At 36.6% G+C, this 27,472-nt stretch overlaps 1 long non-coding RNA gene across 1 annotated transcript in view, besides 1 other annotated feature; it reads left to right on the forward strand.

Annotated features, from left to right (window-relative positions):
- CXXC4-AS1 (CXXC4 antisense RNA 1) overlaps positions 1–6,836 on the forward strand; it is a 206,628-nt gene extending 199,792 nt beyond the window's left edge. The window contains exon 10 of the long non-coding RNA NR_125926.1: positions 4,835–6,836. This is a non-coding gene — a long non-coding RNA (CXXC4 antisense RNA 1). The remainder of the gene's footprint in view (positions 1–4,834) is intronic.
- Positions 1,349–1,909: an enhancer, noted in NCBI's record as "NANOG-H3K27ac-H3K4me1 hESC enhancer chr4:105613262-105613822 (GRCh37/hg19 assembly coordinates)". NCBI's record gives its function as "activates a minimal SCP1, AML or CMV promoter by ChIP-STARR-seq in primed H9 embryonic stem cells {active_cell/tissue: H9 hESC(primed)}" and the evidence as "EXISTENCE:reporter gene assay evidence [ECO:0000049][PMID:30033119]".
- Positions 6,837–27,472: the final 20,636 nt, after the last annotated feature.

Raw genomic sequence — 27,472 nt, forward strand, 5'->3', positions numbered from 1 at the left:
CCTTTTATTTTGAGCCTATGTGTGTCTCTGCACGTGAGATGGGTTTCCTGAATATAGCACACTGATGGGTCTTGACTCTTTATCCAACTTGCCAGTCTGTGTCTTTTGATTGGAGAATTTAGTCCATTTACATTTAAAGTTAATATTGTTATGTGTGAATTTGATCCTGTCATTATGATGTTAGCTGGTGATTTTGCTCGTTAGTTGATGCAGTTTCTTCCTAGTCTCGATGGTCTTTACATTTTGGCATGATTTTGCAGCGGCTGGTACCAGTTGTTCCTTTCCATGTTTAGCGCTTCCTTCAGGAGCTTTTTTAGGGCAGGCCTGGTGGTGACAAAATCGGTCAGCATTTGCTTGTCTGTAAAGTATTTTATTTCTCCTTCGCTTATGAAGCTTAGTTTGGCTGGATATGAAATTCTGGGTTGAAAATTCTTTTTTTTAAGAATGTTGAATATTGGCCCCCACTCTCTTCTGGCTTGTAGGGTTTCTGCCAAGAGATCCGCTGTTAGTCTGATGGGCTTCCCTTTGAGGGTAACCCGACGTTTCTCTCTGGCTGCCCTTAACATTTTTTCCTTCATTTCAACTTTGGTGAATCTGACAATTATGTGTCTTGGAGTTGCTCTTCTCGAGGAGTATCTTTGTGGCGTTCTCTGTATTTCCTGAATCTGAACGTTGGCCTGCCTTGCTAGATTGGGGAAGTTCTCCTGGATAATATCCTGCAGAGTGTTTTCCAACTTGGTTCCATTCTCCGCATCACTTTCAGGTACACCAATCAGACGTAGATTTGGTCTTTTCACACAGTCCCATATTTCTTGGAGGCTTTGCCCATTTCTTTTTATTCTTTTTTCTCTGAACTTCCCTTCTCGCTTCATTTCATTCATTTCATCTTCCATTGCTGATACCCTTTCTTCCAGTTGATCGCATTGGCTCCTGAGGCTTCTGCATTCTTCACGTAGTTCTCGAGCCTTGGTTTTCAGCTCCATCAGCTCCTTTAAGCACTTCTCTGTATTGGTTATTCTAGTTATACATTCTTCTAAATTTTTTTCAAAGTTTTCAACTTCTTTGCCTTTGGTTTGAATGTCCTCCCATAGCTCAGAGTAATTTGATCGTCTGAAGCCTTCTTCTCTCAGCTCGTCAAAATCATTCTCCATCCAGCTTTGTTCCATTGCTGGTGAGGAACTGCGTTCCTTTGGAGGAGGAGAGGCGCTCTGCGTTTTAGAGTTTCCAGTTTTTCTGTTCTGTTTTTTCCCCATCTTTGTGGTTTTATCTACTTTTGGTCTTTGATGATGGTAATGTACAGATGGGTTTTCGGTGTGGATGTCCTTTCTGTTTGTTAGTTTTCCTTCTAACAGACAGGACCCTCAGCTGCAGGTCTGTTGGAATACCCTGCCGTGTGAGGTGTCAGTGTGCCCCTGCTGGGGGGTGCCTCCCAGTTAGGCTGCTCGGGGGTCAGGGGTCAGGGACCCACTTGAGGAGGCAGTCTGCGGGTTCTCAGACCTCCAGCTGCGTGCTGGGAGAACCACTGCTCTCTTCAAAGCTGTCAGACAGGGACATTTAAGTCTGCAGAGGTTACTGCTGTCTTTTTGTTTGTCTGTGCCCTGCCCCCAGAGGTGGAGCCTACAGAGGCAGGCAGGCCTCCTTGAGCTGTGGTGGGCTCCACCCAGTTCGAGCTTCCAGGCTGCTTTGTTTACCTCAGCAAGCCTGGGCAATGGCGGGCGCCCCTCCCCCAGCCTCGCTGCCGCCTTGCAGTTTGATCTCAGACTGCTGTGCTAGCAATCAGCGAGATTCCGTGGGCGTAGGACCCTCTGAGCCAGGTGTGGGATATAGTCTCGTGGTGCGCTGTTTTTTAAGCCGGTCTGAAAAGCGCAATATTTGGGTGGGAGTGACCCGATTTTCCAGGTGCGTCCGTCACCCCTTTCTTTGACTCGGAAAGGGAACTCCCTGACCCCTTGCGCTTCCCAAGTGAGGCAATGCCTCACCCTGCTTTGGCTCGCGCACGGTGCGCGCACCCACTGTCTGGCACTCCCTAGTGAGATGAACCCGGTACCTCAGATGGAAATGCAGAAATCACCCGTCTTCTGCATCGCTCATCCTGGGAGCTGTAGACCGGAGCTGTTCCTATTCGGCCATCTTGGCTCCTCCCCCCACAGTGGTATCTTTCTCCTTCACCTTGCTCCCCTTGAATTCTCCCTCAGACATTCAAGGTTTAAAGCTTCCCCCTTCACTGCCGACACAAACTCATTTTATCATGTATTCATTCAGTGAACAATTTGTAAGACCAAATACCAGATGCTAGAGTTATCAAGCATATAAGGCAGAAGATATATCCTTAATAATTCACAGTCTAATGGAGAGAAAGGTACAAAATAAATGCAATTTAATGTGATGAACACAATAATTAGGGTTAAATACTCTGCATAAACACAATCAAAGAAGTAAGTTATCAACTTCATTTAGATAGCTCAAGGAAGGTTTTGAATTGAAAAAGACATTTGAACCAGGTCTAGAAACATTAGGTGTGGGAGACAGGAGTAAGGGAAAGGGCACTTCATGAGAATTAACTGGATATGCAAAAGCAGAAAAAACTTATAGCAAATTGATTTACAGTGAGGTGTGAAATTGCTAGGCTAAAAGGCAGAATATTAGGTCTGAGGAATAAATCCCTAAAACATAAATTTTTAGAACCTAAAAAATTAGGAATATCATTTGATTTTGCAGGGAGACCCTCCAAGAAACCCAGAAAAATGATAGTTATTCTGCTTACTCTTAAATATAAAAAATATATTTTAACTTAAAAAATATTTAATTGTTATAGATACATAATAGTTATACATATTTATGGGGTACATGTAGTATTTTGATGTAAGCATACAATGTGTAATGATCAAATCTGGGTAACTGGTATATCCATCACCTCAAGCATTTATCATTTCTTTGTGTTAAAAACATTCCAAGTCCACTAGTTTAGTTATCTTTAAATATGCAATAAATTATTGTTACCTATAGTTGCCCTCTTATCCTACTGAACACTTGACCACTAGAGGTCCCCCGACTTGACAGCATTCATTATTTTTTGTCTTTTAATAAAAGCCATTTTAACCAGTGTGAGATAATATTTCATTGTAGTTTCGATTTTTATCTGATGACTGATGATGTTGAACATTTTTTCATATACCTGTTCACCATTTCCTGACATGTTTATCATGAAAAACGGTTCAACGAGAAAAAGAAAACCATTTGTGTCTCATTTTGAGAAACGTCTATTCAGAACTTTTGCTCATTTTTTAATCATATTATTTGTTTTTATCATTATTGATTTGTTTGAGTTTCTTATATATTCTGGTTATTAATTCTTTGTCAGATGAGTAGTTTGCAAATATTTTCTCCCACTCTGTAAGTTGTCTCTTTGCATATTGAACATTTCCTTTGCTGTGTAGAAGCTTTTTAGCTTGATGTGATCCCATTTGTCCATTTTTGCCTGGGTTGCCTGTACTATTGAGGTCTTACTCAAGAAATCATTGCCCAGACCAATGTCCCAGAGTCCTTTCTCAACGTTTTCAACTTTACAGCCTGATTTTTTATCTAACTATTTATCTATTGATGTATTTATTTATCTATCATCTATCTATATAATCTGTCTTATAATAAACACACACACACACACACACACACACACTCAAATACACATAGTAAATATAATATAACCTAAAATGGACAATATAGGATATATCAATTCTACAATGCTAAAAAGAGTGTTTGGTAAGAACATTTGTTTGCTGTCATACTGATAGCAAAATGTCTAATCAGATTGCTTCTCTATGTTTATCCTTAGCCAAATGTTTGAACACCCAATTATTCATAAGTGTTTTCTCATACCATGTCTGTGCTACTGTTAAATTTTTGACCAATTACCTTCACATGTTCCAGTTTATTTTTTGTGGTAACTTTTTTCTTTGCTTTTTTTCTGCTAGAAACACAGGGCTTTTGGTATAATTTGGCTAGTCCCTTTCTTTCTACCTGCAACCATATATTACTATCCCTTCTGAAGACTATAACCTGTATGAAGTTCATATTGAAGCACCATTATTGGGTGGTTCACTGTAGACCTTAAAAAACATAGAGAAAAAGTCCAATTACAAAGAGTTTAGTTTAAAAGCAAGTGAGTCACTTCTTATTCACACTACAACACTTAGAGGTTTATATTGATCCTCATATGCTTTGACAGAAATTTTACCAACCTGTATGTTAGGCAGAAAATCCAAAAGACTATCCATTTTCGTCTGGAAATTAAATTGATTATGCATCTACATGAAAAAGGTAAATTCAGGTCATATCGCTGAGAGAAGCAACAAAATGTTGTAAAAGTCTACACACATCAAAACAATTAAAATGTTTAAAATTACCAAGTAAATGAAATCTATTTTATTGAATCACTGAACTTCCAAATCATGGATGCCATGGCTCTGTCTTCAGGTAAGCCAGCATCCCAGCTGTATGTGCTAATATTGTTTTTAAGTCAGCCATTTCACAATCTTGAATCACTTTAATTGATGTTTAATTGCCATGTTTAAAAACCTTTGCCGTAGAAGACATGAGAAGTCTATTTTTAGGCAGGAAATAGAAATTTCTAGGTCCTCATGAAACATTTAAAATTATAATTTTACACAAATCCCTACCCACTGGATAATAAGTTAGGATAATAGGGGATGAGCTATATATCCCCTTTTACTTTTCTGTGAAAACTGTTTTGTTTTTAAAACTTAAAAATTCCAAGTTAATATTCTACTATTGCACCAAAAGAATACAGTTGACAGTCCTTCATTCACATTCCCAGCCTTCCAGTGGCCACTAAAGAAGAAACCTTCATCTAGTCTACATCACCAAGAGAGAACAGTGACAGCTAACACTGCTCCAGCCTCTACCACCTTCTTGACGTGGCACAGCCATAGAACACAGGAAGTCCTCTTAGCTTCTAATGAAATTGGAAACATGGGAACATGCCCTATAATGAATGGTCTATATCCAAGAGAATACACTATATTAAAGTGTAGTAGAAATTCAATATTTATAAACTATAAACTTCCATTATTTAAAACAAGTGTTTGAAATAGTACCAGTTCCAAGCTTCGTTTTCTTCTTCAAGTATTATATTTATGATACAAAAATGGATTTTCTATTAGTCTAACCATTTTTAAAATTCTCAAATTGAGTATTTTTCTCCAGCTCTAATACTTTTCAGATGCTTCTTTGATGTCATTTACAGGGAGTTGAGGTTTTTTAAGTGTATTATGACCTTCCAGGCTTTCTGGTTTCATAAGAACCTGGTGTCTGGGATACTATCAAAAATAATCTGTCCTCATTTGAATTACCCTAACATTTTAGCTACAAATCAACAGGCTTCTTGAGGGTAGAGATAATGCATCCCTAGCACTTAGCCTGAAGTCTCTGAAACAGTACACTTTAATAGATCTGTACCTCTTTAAAGTATTATACTTATTTATATTTATACCATTTCTGTGACTAGGTATGTTTTCCAACTACATTTATCATTTTGTGTTATTACAAACGTGACATAGTTAAAACAGAAATGATGAAAATACAGAAAACCACAAAGAAATAATCACTTGTAATTACTGCCTATATTATAGATATATATTGTATATTTCCCACATTAGCAAGCCAATTTACCAATTATTATTTATTGGTTAATTAGCATTTCATCATATGGCTGTCCATACTTATTTATACATACTATATATAACAATGTGGTGGCAAGGAAGGTGTATATTATTGCCTATGATCTTATAGGCAAGATAAACAATGCTTCTTAGTAGGTGTTCATTTAGTGTAAGTCCTTTATAAAAATCATTACATTACTGATTTTAAATTAAAAAGGGAATAAGCCAGTGGATTTATTTATTGGTATAACAAAACTTTGTAAATTTTATACCGATATTTTCTTTCACCAAAAGTTCAATTCAAATCCAGGCATGGTGTCTCACGCCTGTAATCCCAGCACTTTGGAAGGCCAAGGCAGGCGGATCACCTGAGATCAAGAGTTCAAGAACAGCCTGGCCAAAATAGCAAAACCCTGTCTGTACTAAAAATACAAAAAAATTAGCCAGGTGTGGTGGCATGTGCCTGTAGTCCCAGCTACTGGGGAGGCTGAGGCAGGGGAATCGCTTGAACTCAGGCAGCAGAGGTTGGCAGTGAGCCGAGATCTTGCCACTGCACTCCAGCCTGAGCAACAGAGTGAGACTCCATCTCAAAAAAAAAAAAGTTCGATTCAAAATTATTCCATTATAAACTATCTGATTATATTATCCAGAATTTTTCAACTCATATCGAAATGCAAATTTTTAAATATTTTTCCCAAATAGAGTCTTAATAGGGTTAAAGGTTGATAGTCTCACAATAATACACTATTCCACAATGTAGAGCACTTAGCAGTATCCATAACAACCATTATTATTTTAAAAATATTTTAATAGTAATATTCTTTGAAATAGTTGATGATTTATTGTGACAGAATGAGGAGAACCTAAGAAAGACTATTTATCGATAAATGAATTTCTAACCATGCTGACGGAAAAGCAGCTTTATATTTTACTTTTGAAAGAAGGTGATGGTTGTATCTGAAGAAAAAAGAGATACAAGCTACTATTTCTAGGCTATCCAGTTAAAGGAAAGCACTATGTCAAGCATTTGAAGTAAAAGAATGTTGTCTTCAGAACCCAAACAGTTGTGTCTCAGAATACAAAGGAATGTAATACATATATTGGTCTATCAGTCAGAAAACAAAACACTGTAAAAAATTAAAATCATTTCAAATTAGTAGAATTTTAGTCTTGTTTTTTGTTGTTGTTGGATAACATGGCAGAACATGACACAACTGAATATGTTTCGAACGTACTCCCGTATTCAAGCAACAATATTTTCTGTGCACGAAAGAATGTGTATAGGTCATCTAATTAACACTAATGAAAGTTCTAGTTTTCAATATACTCTGAATTATTGGATAAGTATAACTGATAGTAAAGTCATAACAGTACTGGGAACAGAAATATAGCTGAAGGAAAAGATGTTACTGAGTTTACTGAAAATCTTTAAAAAATTCATAAAGGCAGAAGAGGAAAATAGAAACAAGAATAGTTTATACAGGAGAGTGAATGGAAGATGAGTATAAGGAGAAGAAAGGGGGAAAATCAGCCTTGAGGAATGTCATGATTCATTTGGTGTGGTCCTTTCAATGAAGCTAGAAGATAAAAGAAATAGTTTATTGTTAGGTTTCTTATGTGAAACTAAGAAAAAAATCTCTGAAAATGTGACTGATTCCTGTGTACAAAAGTAATATTATGCAAAAATTCTTAGTGTTCTACTGAGCCATTTGTTACCTTAATTTGCCTGAAACCTAAAATTCAGTTTTAAAGAATAAATGAACAAATAATTTACTTTGGGAAAAATAACACCAAAATCTGCTGCTAAATGTAATTATTTGGTGCAAACTTTATTGACTTTTTATGATGAAAAAGAATGACCCAAAACTATCTTAATTTTTGTATTTCTATATGAAAATTTGTTTTGACAATTTCACTATTATCGATTCAGCCAGAAAAAATGGAAATTTCATTTTGTTTGGTTCCTTGATTTTTCATTTTAGCATATATTTCACATTCTACCAATTATGGCAAAGACTGTCTAGATGTTAGCAACCCTGCATCCTCCTCTTGCTACATTGGAAGATTACATATTCCAGCCTCCCTTGCAATTTGGACAGGACCATATTCCTGGGCTCTGTCAAAGAATGAGAATGGAAGTATTTCATATCTTCTTCCAGGACTGGCCAAGAGTCCCCTCTCACTTGCTGTTTGCCTATTGCCAATTAAAAGCAAAGAAACCTATGTGGAAATCTGAAGGAGGCCTAGGAGACAGCAGTACCACGAGATGAAAAGAGCCAGGATCCCTCAACCGTCATGCAAAAGGCCATCTATTAAATATGTAAACTGTGGTATGACCCATAAATGAACAGTAATTTTGCTAAGTTAGTGAAATCAGACAGTTGTTTTTATGTAAAGCTAGCATTAATAACCTCAAATGACAATCTGGTCCTTAAAAGGTTTTCTGTTGACATTATTAATTTTTTAATTTAAGATTGTGTTTGGAATTTGGAAAATTTTAGTATTGAGTTCAAAAGAATAACTAAAATAAAAATAGGTTGCTCATAAAACATTATTAACTCAACTGCCTTGTAATCAACCAAGGACTGTCAACTCTGCACATGTTTCTCTTGGATGTTAGCTCTTTAAAATACATCAGGTCTTAAGTGTTCTGAAATACATTACTTCATTTAGTTCACAGCTAAGTGATGGCAATACTCTGATTACTCATCAAAGCCAGCAACTTTGCAGAGCAGAGAGAAGTACCTCACATTTTTATTAAATTGTCAAATATTATATATAAGAATTGTAGACATTTTGGAATTGGAATGGACCTTAAAGACTACAAAACCATCACACTTGTCAGCTGAGCCAACTGTGCTTTAAGGGAGGTTAAGACATTAGTATAAGGATCCAGGGCTAGTTGGCAGCAGAGCTGAGGTTAGTACTATAAGCTCCTGAATGCCTAATTACATTCTTACCTGCAACAGCTTTTTCACAGCAAAGTCAGTCACAGGACTCCAATATCCACATTTCATTCTTAGAGATGAATGAAATGCCAGCCAATGACAACTATTGTTCAGCTTGACTCACTGACACCACCACCTCTTTCCTCCTTGCTCCAGCCAATCACCCAAAGAGAGGATTCCAACTAATGGACAGCAAATCCATATGTTGACCAAGAATCTGCAGGGAGGCCTCGTATATAAAGATTAACTTGACCATACTCTTTGGAATCTAAATAGAGAAACACAGACCCATGGCCAGTTAGCAATAGGATCTGATATTAAAAGTATATGTAAAGAGAAAAAGACTGAATTAAATCAAAGCCATGAGGGACTATGACAAGTCAAAGTTATAAGGGGGATCTAATACCTAGAGATAAATAAGATTCCACCAGGGGAAGATCATGAAAAAGATTGCTAGATCTTCCTGAGATCCTGATGTCTATGTTGATCTATTCCAGTACTAATTTTATCATTAAGTCCTCTTTATCTTCCTAACTTATAAATAAGCCTTCTATATCTTACAGAGGCCTAAATGAGTAGCTATGTTTTTACAACTGAAAAAAATATACATGAAAGAAAAGCATTTAAATATGTCCTTCAACCTAATGTTTGTAAATATATATATAATTATATATATTTACAAATACACATTTACAAATATAAATATATAATTATATATCAGAAAAAATCATAAAATTAAATATCAAATTAACCATCTAAAAATTTAAAATTTAATGGGTGTCAAAAATATAACTAAATTGAAGTGCACACACAATGAGAGTGAATATTTACTAAAACTACATCACAAAAAGGTTAATAAATTAATAAAGAAAACATACATATTGATAATAAAAACACCAATGCTTCAATGAAATAATATGCAAAGAAACTGGACTAACAGTTCACAAAAGAAAGACGTAGAAAAAGCTGATTAGTGTAATCCCAGCACTTTGGGAGGCCGAGGCGGGCCGATCACAAGGTCAGGAGATCGAGACCATCCCGGCTAAAACGGTGAAACCCCGTCTCTACTAAAAATACAAAAAATTAGCCGGGCGTAGTGGCGGGCGCCTGTAGTCCCAGCTACTTGGGAGGCTGAGGCAGGAGAATGGCGTGAACCCGGGAGGCGGAGCTTGCAGTGAGCCGAGATCCCGCCACTGCACTCCAGCCTGGGCGACAGAGCGAGACTCCGTCTCAAAAAAAAAAAAAAAAAAGAAAAAGAAAAAGCTGATTAGTATATGAAAAAGTTTAGCTTTACCAAGGAAATGTGATAAAGGTCAATTATAAAATATCATTTCTACTTACCAAATTAGCAAACATTTATAGAATATTAATAATATGCTGATAGTGGTGAGAAATATGCTAACACATTGCCTATGTGTTCATAAATTGATGGAATAATTCTGGAAAGCAGTTTGGTACCACATACCTATAGCCTTTAAAATGCTTATCCACATTGGCCCAATAATTCTCTTTCTATAATATAACCTTAGTTGGTGATCAGAAATATAAACACATATTTATATTAACATTTTATATTAGCATTTATTATACTTTATCATAATTATTTGTTTTTATAGCCTATCTTCTCCACTTACTCACTTTGATAATTTCGAGGCCTAGCATAGTTCCTGGTACACAGCACCTGACACAGAAAAACCATTTAATAAAAATCTGATAAATGAGCAAATAAAGAAAAGAAGGAAGATATTTAGGATAGTGTTATTTAAAACAATGAAGTGCTAGAAAAAATCCTATGACTATTAAATAAATTATAGTGGGCAAATATAATTGCAATAATATATAAGCATAAAATTATGTTTTGAGACTTTTAATGATGTAAGGACTTGCTTAAGAGTAAAGGGTAGTCAAAAAGTAGGATATAGCACTGTATGTACAATATGCTCTTGACTATGCTAAAATGCGCTAAAACATGCAAGAAGACTAAAAGAGACATACTAATACATATATATTGGTCAAAATTGGTCAAATATTTTATACAAGTTGATTATTCCTAATCCAAAAATTTGAAATCCAAAATGCTCCAATACCCAAAACTTTGAGCGTGGATGTGATGCCACAAGTGAATATTCCACACGTAACTTCATATAATCATTCACAGTCAAAAACACAGGTGCACACCACACAGTTTACTCAGTGTCCCAAGGGACAGAAGACCTTCCCAGTCCTTTTCAGTGGATATATCCTTTCAGCATACACCCATATTCTTCCATGCAAGCATGCCCATAAAGTGTAATAAATGGCATGTGTGTAAGCTGCATGTGCTTATGGCCGGTTCCCCACAAGGCCCCCATGGGACCAAGACCTATGTGCATTACTCACTTTTTTTTTTTTTTGCTTATTCTCTGCTCTGTGGTGTAAAGATGTTGAAAATGTCAAAAATATCTGCAGATATCCCTATGATAATAGTGGTAAGAAAAAGAAGAAGCATTTATGTTTATTGCAGAGCAAGTCAAGCTGTTGGGGAAACTAGATAGCAGCGTAAGTGTGAAAAGTCTTACAGAAGAGTATGGAGTTGGAATGACCTCCACATTCTACCTGAATAAACAGAGGATAAACTGTTAAGTTCTATACTGAAAATGATGAACAGAAGTTAACAGAAATAATAATAAAAAAACTGCATAAAGCCGAACATAAAGATCTCGATCATGTATTGAAAAGGTGCATTTGTCAGCTTTGTAGTGAACACATGCCACTTAATGGTACACTGATCATGATATTTTCAATAGATGATTATAATCTCTATTTGGATAGCCTACTTTTATTTAGACAATAAGTCTTATTTCTTTATAATACATTATTGGAATAGGGAATCTCAATTAATGACTCAGATGTCCCAAATATTCAACATGTCAGTGTTATCTGATCACGTCTGTGTCTCTTTACCTGATTCAAAGCATGTAACTGGGATCAGTTACAGTGCTTCATAGTTCTTTTTTTTTTTTTTTTTTTTTGAGACGGAGTCTCGCTCTGTCGCCCAGGCTGGAGTGCAGTGGCGGGATCTCGGCTCACTGCAAGCTCCGCCTCCCGGGTTCACGCCATTCTCCTGCCTCAGCCTCCCAAGTAGCTGGGACTACAGGCGCCCGCCACTACGCCCGGCTAATTTTTTGTATTTTTAGTAGAGACGGGGTTTCACCGTTTTAGCCGGGATGGTCTCGATCTCCTGACCTTGTGATCGGCCCGCCTCGGCCTCCCAAAGTGCTGGGATTACAGGCGTGAGCCACCGCGCCCGGCCAGTGCTTCATAGTTCTAAGTTGCGTTGCATCTCTTGCCTGAAATTCAGAGTGTGGCAAGGGATGATGGGCAAATGAACATACCCATACCACTGCAAACCATTCCCCAAAGGGAAAGAAGTTATTGGAACTAGCAGATACAGGGGTTAAATTTGGATACTAAATCAGTCCCATAAGTTGTGAAACGTCATTCAAGGGTGGATTTTTCTGCCACAGTAGTAAATGACAATTTTAAAAATCAATATGGTAAACAAAATCAAACACTTTTAATAGTATTCATCCTGGTGACATTGTCATCATGCTACCTCTACCGACTCCCCATTTTACCTGCCTGTCCCCATGAATTTGACTGTTTATGTTGGTGCTCAAATATCTTTGCATTGTTCTGCATAGAAATTTATTTCCCACAAAATTTCAGCCATGGTACTTTGCATTCTTGGTAAATAGTAAACATTATTTTAAATCACAATAAAAGACTAAAACTATATTATCTTCTCAAGGTTTTACATCCACCATAGCTTATATCCTTTTATTTCTCTCTCTGGGTTTCCTCCATTTTCTTCCATTCCCACATCTTCTGTTACCTAGCTGGAGCAGAAATTAAACTGATGTCACTAAGATACTAGGGTTAGAAGAAATGCCAGTGCCTTGTTGCATACATCCTTATTAGTATGAGAGATCAGGATATGTATGCTCCTATGGGCCCTCCTTACCAACTCACAGAGCACCTTAATTCTTTATCCCTAATCCTACAACCACAGTTAACCATGTCCCAAATGCTTGCCATTGTTCAAAATAAAGGTACCCTGAAAGGAGATGACAGCCAATGAAGCAATGCCCATGCAGCCAGGAAGAAGGGAGGGGACACTGTTCTAGCAACTATGTGATCCAGAGCTGCCCATCTATTGAGTACGAGGTGTCACTGCCAGGAAGCCTCATATATATAAGAAACTTCCAGATGTGTTTGAATTAGCATAAGTGTAACATCTCCTACTAGAAAATAATTCCCTGGCAAGGTACCAGTGGGATAGGTTAGTAGTGTTGTTTTGTATGTAAATCATTGTTCATGAGTATCTTCAGCATAAAGCTCTTACTTATTCGAAGCTTAAATAAGCCATGTACAGGCACATTCTGCTCTCCCGGCAGCATTTCTCAGATGTTGTTACAACTCCCCAAGCATAAGAAGAACTGTTTCCCTTAGGTTGAGTTCTGGAGGGTTAAGTATCTATCCACTGATTTACTGTGGTTTCTGTCAGAAAAATTTGACTTTTAGTAGATAATATTCAAATAGTCACTGACGGCTGAAAATTTAACAGCCAAGCAATTGAATCGTCTGTGGTCAAGGCCTTAGAAAAGTGAGTGGTGGCCTTGTAGAGATGCAAGCCACTTAATCAACAAATAAAGCTTTAGAAAACCAAAGAGGAGACAGCTGGCACTGTAACATTCTGTTTTGATGGTGATTTCATTACATTTTGGAAAATGCATACTTGACTTAAGCTTTAGTTGCTGAGAGTTCAATGAAAGAGGCCGACACTATATTTGTTTTGTGCTAAATGAGTATATTTGATGAAACACCTGATTTCTGTAACAATAACCACTACATATACCATAAACATGGGTAGCTACATTTATAGATTAATTAATGATAAATATGCACAGAGAAATCAGGCACTTAGCTAGACACTCAGCCTTCAAATCATTTTTCTTTAACCGATACGGCACTTGTTGAAATTCTACAAGCACATTTGCTTGAGTTCTCATTGAAATAATTTGGTTCATTTTTCAATTGACTTTTCTCACAAGTCAGAGAAGATTTGCCATGCTAAGGAAATCAGACTTACTACGCCAAAGAAATACAACATTTAGGGTAGACTATTTGGGTAATCATGTATTCTTAAAAGAAGAAAGCTTTTCTAAATAGAAATCAGAACAATGAACCTTTCAACAAAGCAGTGCATAGATAATTATTAAGATTACAAATATGCATGAAAACTAGAGGTAGCCAAAGATTGTCCACAGCTACTAATATGTTTTGACAGGACTATAATTTTGCTATACTTCAACAAGAGTTAAGGCTAGTCATGAAGTACAAACTGCGGGTTTGCCTGTTTTATATACTGAACAAAGAAAAATAGAAAAACAATTTCATTGAATCAGGATCAAAAGCATATATCAAGGGTATTTAGTCCTTAGAAATAAGCCGGTTCTCAAAAGTACTTTTAAAAACTTAAATAAAGCAAATTTTAATTATTCATATGAATAAAGAATTAATACTTAAGGTGAATTTTAATGTTCAGTAGATATGTATAATTATGTGTCTATTGTATTGACTTTATATACCGTTATGAAAGCAGATAAGAGAATGTAAAGTTTGTTTCTTCTGCTAAGTAATGTTGATTACATCATCACTGGTATTTTAAAAAATATGTATTTCACGTGATATTGAACATCAATGTAATTTTTTTCCTTTTCTATCCCAACAACAATACATACAAGTGAAACAACTTAGAATATATATATACAATATGGGTACAGTTGTTTGCCATCACTATGAATTCTAATTTTTGCATTAGGATCTTTTAGAATGAGAAAATTCCGAATTATAGAAGGATTCAGAGATTAAAATGCACTTTTATTGAATCCCTCTTTTTTGCTCCTCTCTCCCTCTGAAGTTATCAGAAAGCTTATCACTTGTCAGTATAAACACATAAGGTTAGGAAAAAATAGCATGAGAATGGTATATATTTATTTTTCTGGACTAAATAACATTGATGACATATTTAAATTGTTGGTCATTGTCCAGTTCACCTTGCTATTGACTTATTTTCATGTAAAAGTACTGGCTTGACAGTTGCACAGTTGTGTAAAAACATTAAATACTACTACTATTACTAACAGCTAACATTTGAGGATTTAGCATATGCCAGGCACTGTATTAAGTGCTATACATATTTCTTCTGATTTTCTCAACAAAACACACTATAGGGCAGGGGCAATGTTATTATCCATAATTTGTATATAAAAATATTTGAAAATACTAAGTGTAAAGAGTCTATATAACTAGCACAATGTTACACAGCAGAACATGGATAGAAATCCACACAATCTGAGGGACTTCAGGACCATACTTTAAACCACTATGCTAGCATGTTGTAGATAAAATATGCTGTTGATGCAATATTTAAATGCAAATAAGCATTCACATAAAAAATAAGCCACACTGCAATTGTTTATGGACATGATGAGTTTAAGAATGATGAGACCTACAATAATAAAATCTTAGAATATAATGTGTTACAGAGTCATCCAAGTCTAACACATTTTTACTGACTCTTATCATGGGCCCAACATTGTCCTCACCATTGTAGATATAGTAGTTAAACAAAGTTCTGCTTTTATGAATCTAACATTGCAATTAGAAAGCACACAAGAAGAATGGAAGTTTTTAGGGAATGACAAGGGCTATGGGGGAAAAAAATAAAACAAAGAGCTATAACAATAAGAAGGAAGAATTCCTTTAGCAAAAGTAGCTAGGTAAGGCTGCTCTAAGGAGGAAGCCTTTGAGTAAATGCTGAATGACAAGAAGGAGTCAGCAGTGGAAGCAGGTGGGAGCCAAGTGTTCCAGCAGAGGCAACAGCAAATGCACAGGTCTGAATTTGACAAGGAGTTTAGTTTTCTTTCTGGAAAAGAAAGATGGTCAGTATGGCTGGGACATATGGAGCAAGAAGGAAAAGGACAGAAACAGAGAAGGCAGAGTGGATCATTTAGGACCTTATAGGCAATGCAAAGAAATTTAGAGTTTATACTTTTATATCAAGTGAGAGAATGCTAGAATGGATTTAGATGGAGAAAGCAAAACTTCATTTAGGTTTTAAAAATCTCAGTCCCAGGCAAGATGGCCAAACAGGAGCAGCTCCAGTCTGCAGCTCCCAGCGAGACCCAATGCAGAAAACGGGTGATTTCTGCATTTCCATCTGAGGTACCTGGCTCATCTCATTGGGACTGGTTAGACAGTGGCTGGAGCCCACGGAGGGCAAGCCAAAGTATGGTGGGATGTCACCTCACCCGGAAGCACAAGGGATTGGGGAACTTGCTCCGCTAGCCAAGGGAAGCCATGAGTGAGGGACAGTGCTATCTGGCCCAGATACCATGCTTTTCCCACTGTCTTCAAAATCCACAGACTAGGAGATTTTCTCAGGTGCCTACACCACCAGGGCCCTGGGTTTCAAGCACAAAACTGGGCGGCTGTTTGGGCAGACAACAAGCTAGCTGCAGGATTTTTTTTTTTTTTCTGTAACCCCAGTGGTGCCTGAAACACCAGCAAGACAGAACTGTTCACTCCCCTGGAAAGGGGCCTCAAGCCTAGAAGCCGAGTGGTCTTGCTCAGTGGATCCCACCCCCATGGAGCCCAACAAACTAAGATCCATAGGCTGGAAATTCTCCCTGCCAGCACAGCAGTCTGAAGTCGACCTGGGACACTTGAGCTTGGTAGGGGGAGAGGCATCCGCCTTTACTGAGGCTTAAGTAGTCAGTTTTCCCCTCACAGTGTAAACAAAGCTGCCAGAAAGTTCGAAATGAAAGGAGCCCACCACAGCACCACAAAGCCGCTGTAGCCAGACTGCCTCTCTAGATTCCTCTTCTCTGAGCAGGGCAACGCTGAAGGAAAGGCAGCAGCCCCATCAGGGGCTTATAGATAAAACTCCCATCTTCCGGGGACAGAGCACCTGGGGGAAGGGGCGCCTGTGGGTGCAGCTTCAGCAGACTTAAACATTCCTGCCTGCTGGCTCTGAAGAAGGCAACAGATCTCTGAGCACAGCGCTTGAGCTCTGCTAAGGGACAGACTGCCTCCTCAAGTGGGTCCCTGACCCCTGTGCCTCCTGAGAGGGAGACATCTCCCAGCAGGGGTTGACAGACACCTCATACAGGAGAGCTCCAGCTAGATTCTGGTGAGTGCCCCTCTGGAATGTAGCTTCCAGAGGAAGGAGCAGGCAGCAATCTTTGCCATTCTGCAGCTTCTGCTGGTGATACCCAGGTAAACAGGGTCTGGAGTGGACCTCCAGCAAACCAGCAGACCTGCAGAAGAGGGGCCTGACTGTTAGAGGGAAAACTAACCAACAGAAAGCAATAGCATCAACATCAACAAAAAGCATGACCACCCAAAAATCCCATTGAAAGGTCACCAACATTAAGGACCAAAGGTAGATAAATTCAAGAAGATGAGGAAAAACCAGCACGAAAAAGGCTGAAATTTCCAAAAACCAGGAAGCCTCTTCTCCTCCAAAGGGTCACAACTCCTTGCCAGCCAGGGAACAAAACTGGACGGAGAATGAGTTTGATGAATTGACAGAAGTAGGCTTCAGGAAGTGGGTAATAACAAACTCCTCAGAGCTCAAGGAGCATGTTCTAACTTAATGCAAGGAAGCTAAGAACCTTGATAAAAGGTTCCAGGAACTGCTAACTAGAATAATCAGTTTAGAGAAGAACATAAATGACCTGATGGAGCTGAAAAACACAGCAAGAGAACTTCGTGAAGCATACACAAGTATCAATAGCCAAATCAATCAAGCAGAAGGAAGGATACCAGAGACTGAAGATCAAGTTAATGAAATAAAGCATGAAGACAAGATTAGAGAAAAAAGAATGAAAAGGAATGAATAAAACCTCCAAGAAATACAGGACTATGTGAAAAGATCAAACATACGTTTGATTGGTGTACCTGAAAATGAGTGGGGAGAATGGAACCAAGCTGGAAAACAGTCTTCAGAATATTATCCAGGAGAACTTCCCCAACCTAGCAAGACAGGCCAACATTCAAATTCAGAAAATACAGAGAACACCACAAAGATACTGCTTGATAAGAGCAACCCCAAAACACATAATCATCAGATTCACCAAGGTTGAAATCAAGGAAAAAATGTTAAGGGCAGCCAGAGAGACAGGTCAGCTTACCCCTTTCTCTTCTGAAAGGGAAGCCCAACAGACTAACAGTGGATCTCTCTGCAGAAACCTTACAAGCTGGAAGAGTTGGGGCCAACATTCAACCTTCTTAAAGAATAGAATTTTCAACCCAGAATTTCATATCCAGCCAAACTAAGCTTCATAAGTGTGGAAGGAGAAATAAAATCCTTTACAGACAAGCAAATGCTGAGGGATTTCATCACCACCAGGACTGCCTTGCAAGAGCTCCTGAAGGAAACCCTAAATATGGAAAGGAAAAACCGGTACCAGCCACTGCAAAAACATACCGAATTGTAAAGACCATTGACATTATAAAGAAACTGTATAAACTAATGGGCAAAATAACCACCTAGCGTCATAATGACGGGATCAAATTCACACATAACAATATTAACCCCAAATATAAATGGGCTAAATGCCCCAATTAAAAGACACAGACTGGCAAATTGGATAAAGAATCAAGACCCATCAGTGTGCTGTATTCAGGAGACCAATCTCACATGCAAAGACACACATAGGCTCAAAATAAAGGGCTGCAGGAAGACTTACCAACCAAATGGAAAGCAAGAAAAAAAAAGCAGAGGCTGCAATTCTAGTCTCTGATAAAACAGACTTTAAACCAACAAAGATCAAAAAAGACAAAGAAGGGCATTACATAATGGTAAAGGGATCAATGCAATAGGAAGAGCTAACTAGCCTAAATATATATACACCAAATACAGAAGCACCCAGATTCATAAAGCAAGTTCTTATAGACCTACAAAGAGACTTAGACTCCCAAAAAATAATAGTGGGAGATTGTAACACCCCACTGTCAATATTAGACAAATCAATGAGAAAGAAAATTAACAAGGATATTCAGGACTTGAACTCAGCTCTGGGCCAAGCGGACCTAATAGACATCTACAGAACTCTCCACACCAAATCAACAGAATATACAGTCTTCTCATCACCACATTGCACTTATTCTAAAATTGACCACATAAATGGAAGTAAAACACTCCTCAGCAAATGCAAAAGAATGGAAATCATAACAAGCAGTCTCTCAGACCACAGTGCAATCAAATTAGAACTCAGGATTAAGAAGCTCATTTAAAACTGCACAACTACATGGAAACTGAACAGCCTGTTCCTGAATGACTACTGGGTAAGTAACGAAATTAAGGCAGAAATAAGTACGCTCTTTGAAACCAATGAGAGCAAAGACATAACATACCAGAATATCTGGGACACAGCTAAAGCAGCATTTAGATGGAAATTCTTAGCACTAAATGCCCACAAGAGAAAGCAGGAAAGATCTAAAATTGACACCCTAACATCACAATTAAAAGAACTAGAGAAGCAAGAGCAACAAATTCAAAAGCTAGCAGAAGACAAGAAATAACTAAGATCAGAGCAGAACTGAAGGAGACAGACACAAAGAACACCCTTCAAAAAATCAATCCAGGAGCTGTTTTTTTTTTTTTTTTTTAACATCAACAAAATAGATAGACCACTAGCCAGGCTAATAAAGAAGAAAAGAGAGAAGAATCAAATAAACACAATAGAAAATTATAAAGGGGATATCACCACTGATCCTATAGAAACACAAACTACCATCACAGAATACTATAAACACCTCTATGCAAATATACTAGAAAACCTAGAAGAAATAGATAAATTCCTGGACACATACACCTTCCCAAGACTAAACCAGGAAGAAATCAAATCCCTGGATAGACCAATAACAAGTTCTGAATTGAGGTAGTAATTAATGGCCTACCAAACAAGGAAAGCTCAGGACCAGACTTACAGTCAAATTCTACCAGAGGTACAAAGAAGAGCTGGTACCATTCTGTCTGAAACTATTCCAAACAATAGAAAAAGAGGGGCTCCTCCTCATTTTTTGAGGTTGGCATTATCCTGATAACAAAACCTGGCAGAGACAGAACAAAAAAAGAAAATTTCAGGCCAACATTCCTGACAAACATCGATGTGAAAATCCTCAATAAAATACTAGCAAACCGAATCCAGCAGCACAACAAAAAGCTTATCCAACACGATCAAGTCAGCTTCATCCCTGGGATGCAAGGCTGGTTCAATATATACAAATCAATAAATTTAATCCAGCATATAAACAGAACCAAAGACAAAAACTGCATGATTATCTCAATAGATGCAGAAAAGGCCTTCGATAAAATTCACCACCCCTTCATGCTAAAAACACTCAATAAACCAGGTATTGATGGAACATATCTCAAAATAATAAGAGTTATTTATGACAAATCCACAGCCAATATCATACTGAATGGGCAAAAGTTGGAAGCATTCCCTTTGAAAACCAGCACAAGACAAGGGTGCCCTCTCTCACCACTCCCATTCAACAAAGTATGGGAAGTTTTGGCCAGGGAAATCAGGCAAGAAAAATAAATAAAAGGTATCCAAATAGGAACAGAGTAAGTCAAATTATCTCTGTTTGCAGGTAACATAATTGTATATTCAGAAAACCCCATCGTCTCAACCCAAAATCTCCTTAAGCCAATAAGTAACTTCAGCAAAGTCTTAGGATACAAAATCAATGTTCAAAAATCACAAGCATTCCTATCACCAATAATAGACAAACAGAGAGCCAAATCGTGAGTGAACTCCCATTCACAATTGCTAACACGAGAATAAAATACCTAGGAATACAACTTACAAGGGATGTGAAGGACCTCTTCAAGGAGAACTACAAACCACTGCTCAAGGAAATAAGAGAGGACACAAACAAATGGAAAAAGATTCCAGCTCATGGATAGGAAGAATCAATATTGTTACAATGGCCATACTGCCAAAAGTGATTTATAGATTCAATGCTACCCCCATCAAACTACCACTGACTTTCTTCACAGAATTAGAAAAAGCTACTTTAAGTTTCAAAAAAGAGCCTATATAGCCAAGACAATCCTAAGCAAGAAGAAGAAAGAAGCTGGAGGCATCATGCTGCCTGACTTCAAACTATACTACAAGGCTACAGTAACCAAAACAGCATGGTACTGGTACCAAAACAGATATCTAGACCAATGGAACAGAACAGAGGCTGCAATGGGGAAAGGATTCCCTTTTTAATAAAAGGCATTGGGAAAACTGGGTATCCATATGCAGAAAACTGAAATTGGACCCCTTTATTACACCTTCTACAAAAAGTAACTCAAGATGGATTAAATATTTAAACATAAGACCTAAAACCATAAAAACCCTAGAAGAAAACCTAGGCAATACCATTCACGACATAGGCATGGGCAAAGACTTTTTGACTAAAACACCAAAAGCAATGGCAACAAAAGCCAAAATTCACAAATGGGATCTAATTAAACTAAAGTGCTTCTGCACAGCAAAAGAAACTATTATCAGAGTGAACAGGCAACTTACAGAATGGGAGAAAATTTTTGCAATCTATCCACTGACAAAGGGCTAATATCTAGAATCTGCAAATAACTTAAACAAACATACAAGAAAAGAACAAACGACCCCATCAGAAAGTGGGTGAAGGATATGAACAGACACTTCTCAAAAGAAGACGTTTATATGGCCAACAAACATATGAAAAAAAGCTCATCATCACTGGTCATTAGAGAACTGCAAATCAAAACCAGAATGAGATACCATCTCACACGTTAGAATGGCGATCCTTAAAAAATCAGGAAACAACAGATGCTGGAAAGGCTGTGGAGAAATAGGAACACTTTTAAACTGTTGGTGGGAGTGTAAATTAGTTCAATCATTGTGGAAGACAGTGTGGTGATTCCTGAAGGATCTAGAACAAAAAATACCATTTGACCCAGCAATCCCATTACTGGGAATATAGCCAAAGGATTATAAATCATTCTACTATAAAGACACATGCACATGCATATTTATTGCAGCACTATTCACAATAGTAAAGACTTAGAACCAACCCAAATGCCCCTCAATGATAGACTGAATATAGAAAATGTGGCACATATACACCATGGAATACTATGCAGCCACAAAATGAATGATTTCATGTCATTTGCAGGGACATGGATGAAGCTTGAAACCACCATTCTCAGCACACTAACCCAGGAACAGTAAACCGAACACTGCATGTTCTCAGTCATAAATGGGAGTTGAACAATGAGAACATATGGGCACACAGAGGGGAACATCACACACTGGGGCCTGTCAGGGAATAGGGGGCAAGGGGAAGGATAGCATTAGGAAAAATACCTAATGTAGATGACGGGTTAATGGGTGCAGCAAACCACCATGGCACATATATACCTATGTAACAAACCTGTACGTTCTGCCCATGTATCCCAGAACTTTAATAATAATAATAATAATAATAATAATAATAATAATAATCTCTCTGGCTTCTCTTTGAAGGATGGATTGGAGAAGCAAAAATAGTAGAAATAGGGAGACCAGATCGCAGGTTATCAATGCAGTTGACATAAGTGATGATTGTGTCTTGGACTACAGTTTATGTGAAGGGAAATGGAAAGATCAGAATATGTCGTAGAAGTGAAGTCAACAGGGTTCGCTTCCTTATATTGACTTACAATGGTCTGCATATAATCTTTACCCACTGACCTTGTTTGGTTCTTGGAGGAAATACAGAATAGATTTAATCCCTTCAGATTTTAAAAAGCAGGACACATGACCTCTCTTAAATATCCCTATTTCCAGACTAACAAGCCCTACTTCCCTCCAACTATTTTCCGATACCTTTTTAACTTTGCTGAATATCCTGGATACCTCCCATTGATTATCTTCCTTTTTGGCAATGTCTCTTTTAAAATGTGGTGTCCAGAACTAAATGAAGCACTTCAGGCATTCCCTGACAACTACAGAGTCCAATGGGGCAATTTCCTTCCAGAGTGTACTGCATTTCTTTTAATACAGCCTAGGGCATATGCATTTCATGCTTAACAAAGGAAGGTAGTGGTAGGACAATATACTTTGAAGAGTCAAAACCAGGATTACCACCTGACTATTACTGGATAATATTTATGAAAGTAGATTTTTTGTGTGTGAATAGAGCTATGGAGAGTATGGTTTTCTTGGCAGATGACAATCTTAAGAGAAGGTGCTAAATTAATAATTAAATAAAGGTGCCACTAAAAAGATCTGCTGGGGTTGGAGGTGAGGTGAGGAGAGCACATGGTGAAGCAGGACAGGAGAGTGATTGAGCAAAGCAAGGTTAATAATGAGAGATGTTTCTGAGGAATGAGGCGAGTGAAGTGGAAAATTCAGGTGAACATAAAACAATTATTTCAAGTTGAAAACAATGGTAAACATGATTTTTGCAGTCAAGTTCTCTGGGTTCTTTAAGGACCTTAATTGGTTTGACTCTGTGTTTTGCATCAGTCACAAATGATACTTCGTGAACCAAATTTTAATCACTACAAAGGTGATGTCTTAACTATGTTTTAGCTAATTTGTTTCCTTATCAGTTATTTCTATTCCATGGTTCCACAGGACATGGAATAGTCCTTATTGTTAATAGACAATAAGTCTATTAACTCTGAAGCAGTCTAAGGATGTGAGAATTTGTGGCATATTAAAACTGTCTCCTAAATGCCAGATCTGATTTTTTATCTTTGTTATATTTCGCTTTTATTACTCCATGCAGAATATTGTCTTATTGTGTGAATGAGCATCTGAAATTGGGGGAAGACCACGAGATGGTGAAGAGGGACATTTTGAGAGGAAATTAACTCAATCCCTAAGAGGAAATGTGCCACATTCAATGAATGAAAATATATCATTCCATTTATCCTCATTCAGGAAAGAGGGCATTATACACATAGTACTTTTCTCAATAACGAAATGAAATCATAAAAGTTAATATTTAACTCTAATCTTTCTTAAAATTTGTGCTGAAAATGTTGAGTTGGGGTAGACATAAATAGGAAGGTCCCAAATAAAGCTTCCAAAACAGTGTTTTTAAGACAACGTATTTAATATTCACAATCTAGAGTACAGTAGAATACAATCCAGGAAGCAAAAGAAGTATACCATTTAATAAGAACTAAAACAGCAACAATATCTCATTTTTAATGCTTTCTAGAACTTGTGAGAATTTTATAGAAATTAATCCATTCATCTTTACAGCTTTCTGAAGAGTAAGTTGAAATAAAAAGGAATAATTTACCAAAAAAAGCCATCTATTAAAATCTTACTATGTGCTAACCTTTATGTTTAGTGGATTATCCTGATGCCTTAGAAAACACCTCAATTCATCCTTGCCAACTGACACAGACAGTATTTCAAAACATTCAAATAACAAAATCATTATCTAAATTCCTTAATGAGGTACCCAAGTACCACACTTCACTGTACTTCCTGAGTAACCTATAACATCTATATGTTAAATTCTGCAGCTTCATCATGCTATGTCAACTCAATGTCTATAAGGAGATTTTAGGTTTGACTAATACCATAAAGATATTTGAGGAAAAAAATGTTATTATTAATATGTAAGGAAGAAACATTAGATTCAGTGTAAATATTCTAAATACTTTTGGCAAAACTCTGCCCCAAAGGTTAAGGCCACTGTTTTGTAGATTGGAAACCAGTTGAGGTTTATAAAACAAAGGATAAGAATCAGTTTATTAAGAACTGTTCATTTTTAACCTGGACTGGGACAATTTTTATTGAACCTTTCATAAACTAACTGGAGGTGGTTTATAAGTTGCAGACAACACTAAGCTCTTCCAGTTAGTGAAGAGGTAAACTGATGAGAGTACAACATAGCCAGATAACCTGAGATTCTGAGTTGGCATAAAAGTGGTAGCCAGACTCCTCAGGGAGAAAGTGCAAAGCAATGCATTTAGCTATCAGTTATATTGCTTAAAAAGACTGGACCTGAGTATCTTTTGGGAGTATTTATTCAAGACATTGGAGTAATTGTTTCCATAGCCAAAAAGATTAAAAAAATCAAGTCAAAGTGCAAACATTACTTTGCCTTTTTATAAGTAAGACCTTCCATTTGCTGACATGGTATATAGTAAGGCAATAACTAATTAATATTCTACTAAAAACAGAGTCAGTGTGTCATTTGGAAGCAGAATATGTTGTTTCTAGTCCTGGCTCAAGTGCTTATTATTTTATTCAATAAATCATTCATTTAGTCATTCATTCAAAGCAAGATTAAGTATTTATTATGTATCAGACACTCTTCTGGGTACAGTTAAGTATGTATAGATGATAAAATTACATTCTCTATCCTGAAAGAGCTAATGCTGTATAGGGGAGATGAACAAAATAGCAAACAATGACAATATAATATATTGTCAATACAAGTTTATGGAGCAAACGTAATACATAAGAGACAAAACTATTTCAGATGAAGGTAGAAGATGTTTTGTAAGTAGTTCAGTGTGGCCAAAGTGTGAGTTACAAGAAGAATGGAAGAATGGCAATAAAACTGAGATATAGGAGGAAGAGCTGGTTTATGAACAACCTACTAGGCTAGGCTAAGGTGTTTGTTTGTTTGTTTGTTTGTTTGTTTTAATATAGCTAAGGCAATGAAAAGTCATAGTGAACTTTAAGGAGAGGTGGGCAATGGCAATTGTTAAATTTATATTTCCGAAAGGATAGTTCAATATGGTTACGAAAACTAAATTGGATTATATTCAAGTTTGGAGACAAAGGAAACATTAGAGTACTACTGAAGAAGTTTGGACAAGAAATAAGAAGGATTTTTTAGGGAAAATAAAGAGAAAAATAGCAGGACTTGATGACCTATTAGAATAGGAGATACGTAAGGGAGGAATCAGGGATAAACCCCAGGTTTCTGGGTTGGGCAACTGGGTATATTATGAAAATAATACTGGCCAAGGTAGGAAAAGTAGGTGTGTGTTAAAATTTGGGAACTATTGATTTTGAAGAAACTGAATATCCTCCAAGAAAGGAAATATGCACAAAATGTTTGCACAAAACTCTAGACATAAAAGTAGATATTTATGCTATAGACACCGATTTTGAAATTATCAAATTGGACAGTTGAAGCCAAAAGTTTGAGTGAGATTTAAAAATGTCGTCTAGTAATGGAACCTTGAGAGTCTTCAACACCATACCAGCAATAGGACTATTTATAGATAGATACAAATGTGTGTGTGTATATATATATTTATATTTTAATTTAATTTTAAATAAATATAAATTTATTTTATATTTAATAAAAATAATAAAATGTAATAAATATAAATTTATTTATATATTTAAATTTATTTTAAATTCCACATTGAACATTTATTCAAAATATGTCCTTAGAGTATAATGGAATTAAAGAAGTAATTGATAACAAGAAGATACCTAGAAAATTATCAAGTATTTGGAATTTAAACAATACCCTTCTAAGCAACCCATGGGTCAAAGGTAAAAAATCTCAAGGGAAATTAGGAAATATTTTGAACTGACTGAAAATGAAAATACAACATAGCAAAATTTGCAGGAGGCAGCTAAGGAAATACAGGAAAATGTACAGTATGTAATACTATATTAGAAAAGTATAAAGGTCACAAATCAATAATCTAAGTTTCCATGTTAAGAAACTAGAAAAAGAAGAGCATACTGAATACAAATTAAGCAGAATGAAGTAAATAATAAAGAGCACAAATCAATAAAATTAGAAACAAAAATAGGGAAAAATCAATGAAAACAAAAACCAGTGCTTTGAAAAATCAACAAAATTGATAAATTCTAACCAGTCTGACAAAGAAAAAAAAGATAAAATGCAAATTACAAATATCAGGAATAAAAGGGATGATATCACTACATACCCCACAAACTGTAAAATAAAATTAGATACTAGAAATAACTGCATATTTTAAATTCAAAAAATAGATTACACGGGCCAAATTCTTGAGACACAAACTATCAGAACTGACTCAAGAAGAAATAGATAATCTATAATTACTGAATTGAGATTGTAGTTTAAAATCTTTCAAAAAAATGAAGACCCAGAAGAATTCTACCACACATTTAAGAAGAAAAAAAAGTATTCTGCATAATATCTTTCAGAAAATAGAAGGTAACAACTCACAAGGCATTCTATGAGGCAAGTATTACCCTAATTTCAAAACCACAGAAAGACTTTGCGGGAAAACTGTAGACCAACCAACATCTCATATGAACACAGACTCAAAAATTATCAACAAAATATCAGAAAATTATATCCAACAATATATAAAAAGAATAATATACCACAATCAAGTGGTTTCTTCTTTCCAGGGATGCAAGCCTGGTTCAATTTTGAAAAATCAAACAATGTAATTCTCCACATTAAGAGATTAAATAGGGAAAAATACATGATCACCTTAATACACGGAGAAAAAGCTTTTGATAAATGTCAATATGCATATGTGATTTTAAAAATCCTCGGCAATCTAGTAATAGAACTTCCTTAATCTGTAAGAAGCCATCTTTAAAAAAACAAAACAAAACAAAAAACAATTAACATCATACACAATTATGAAAAACTTAATGTATTCACCTAAAGATCTGGGACAAGGCAAGAATGTCCTTTCTCATAATTCCTTTTCTAAATCCTACTAGAAGTCTTAACTAGTCTGATAAGTCAAGGATAATAAACAAAAGACATATAGCT

This window comes from Homo sapiens, chromosome 4, assembly GCF_000001405.40.
Source record: "Homo sapiens chromosome 4, GRCh38.p14 Primary Assembly".
In the NCBI taxonomy this organism is placed as follows: domain Eukaryota; kingdom Metazoa; phylum Chordata; class Mammalia; order Primates; family Hominidae; genus Homo; species Homo sapiens.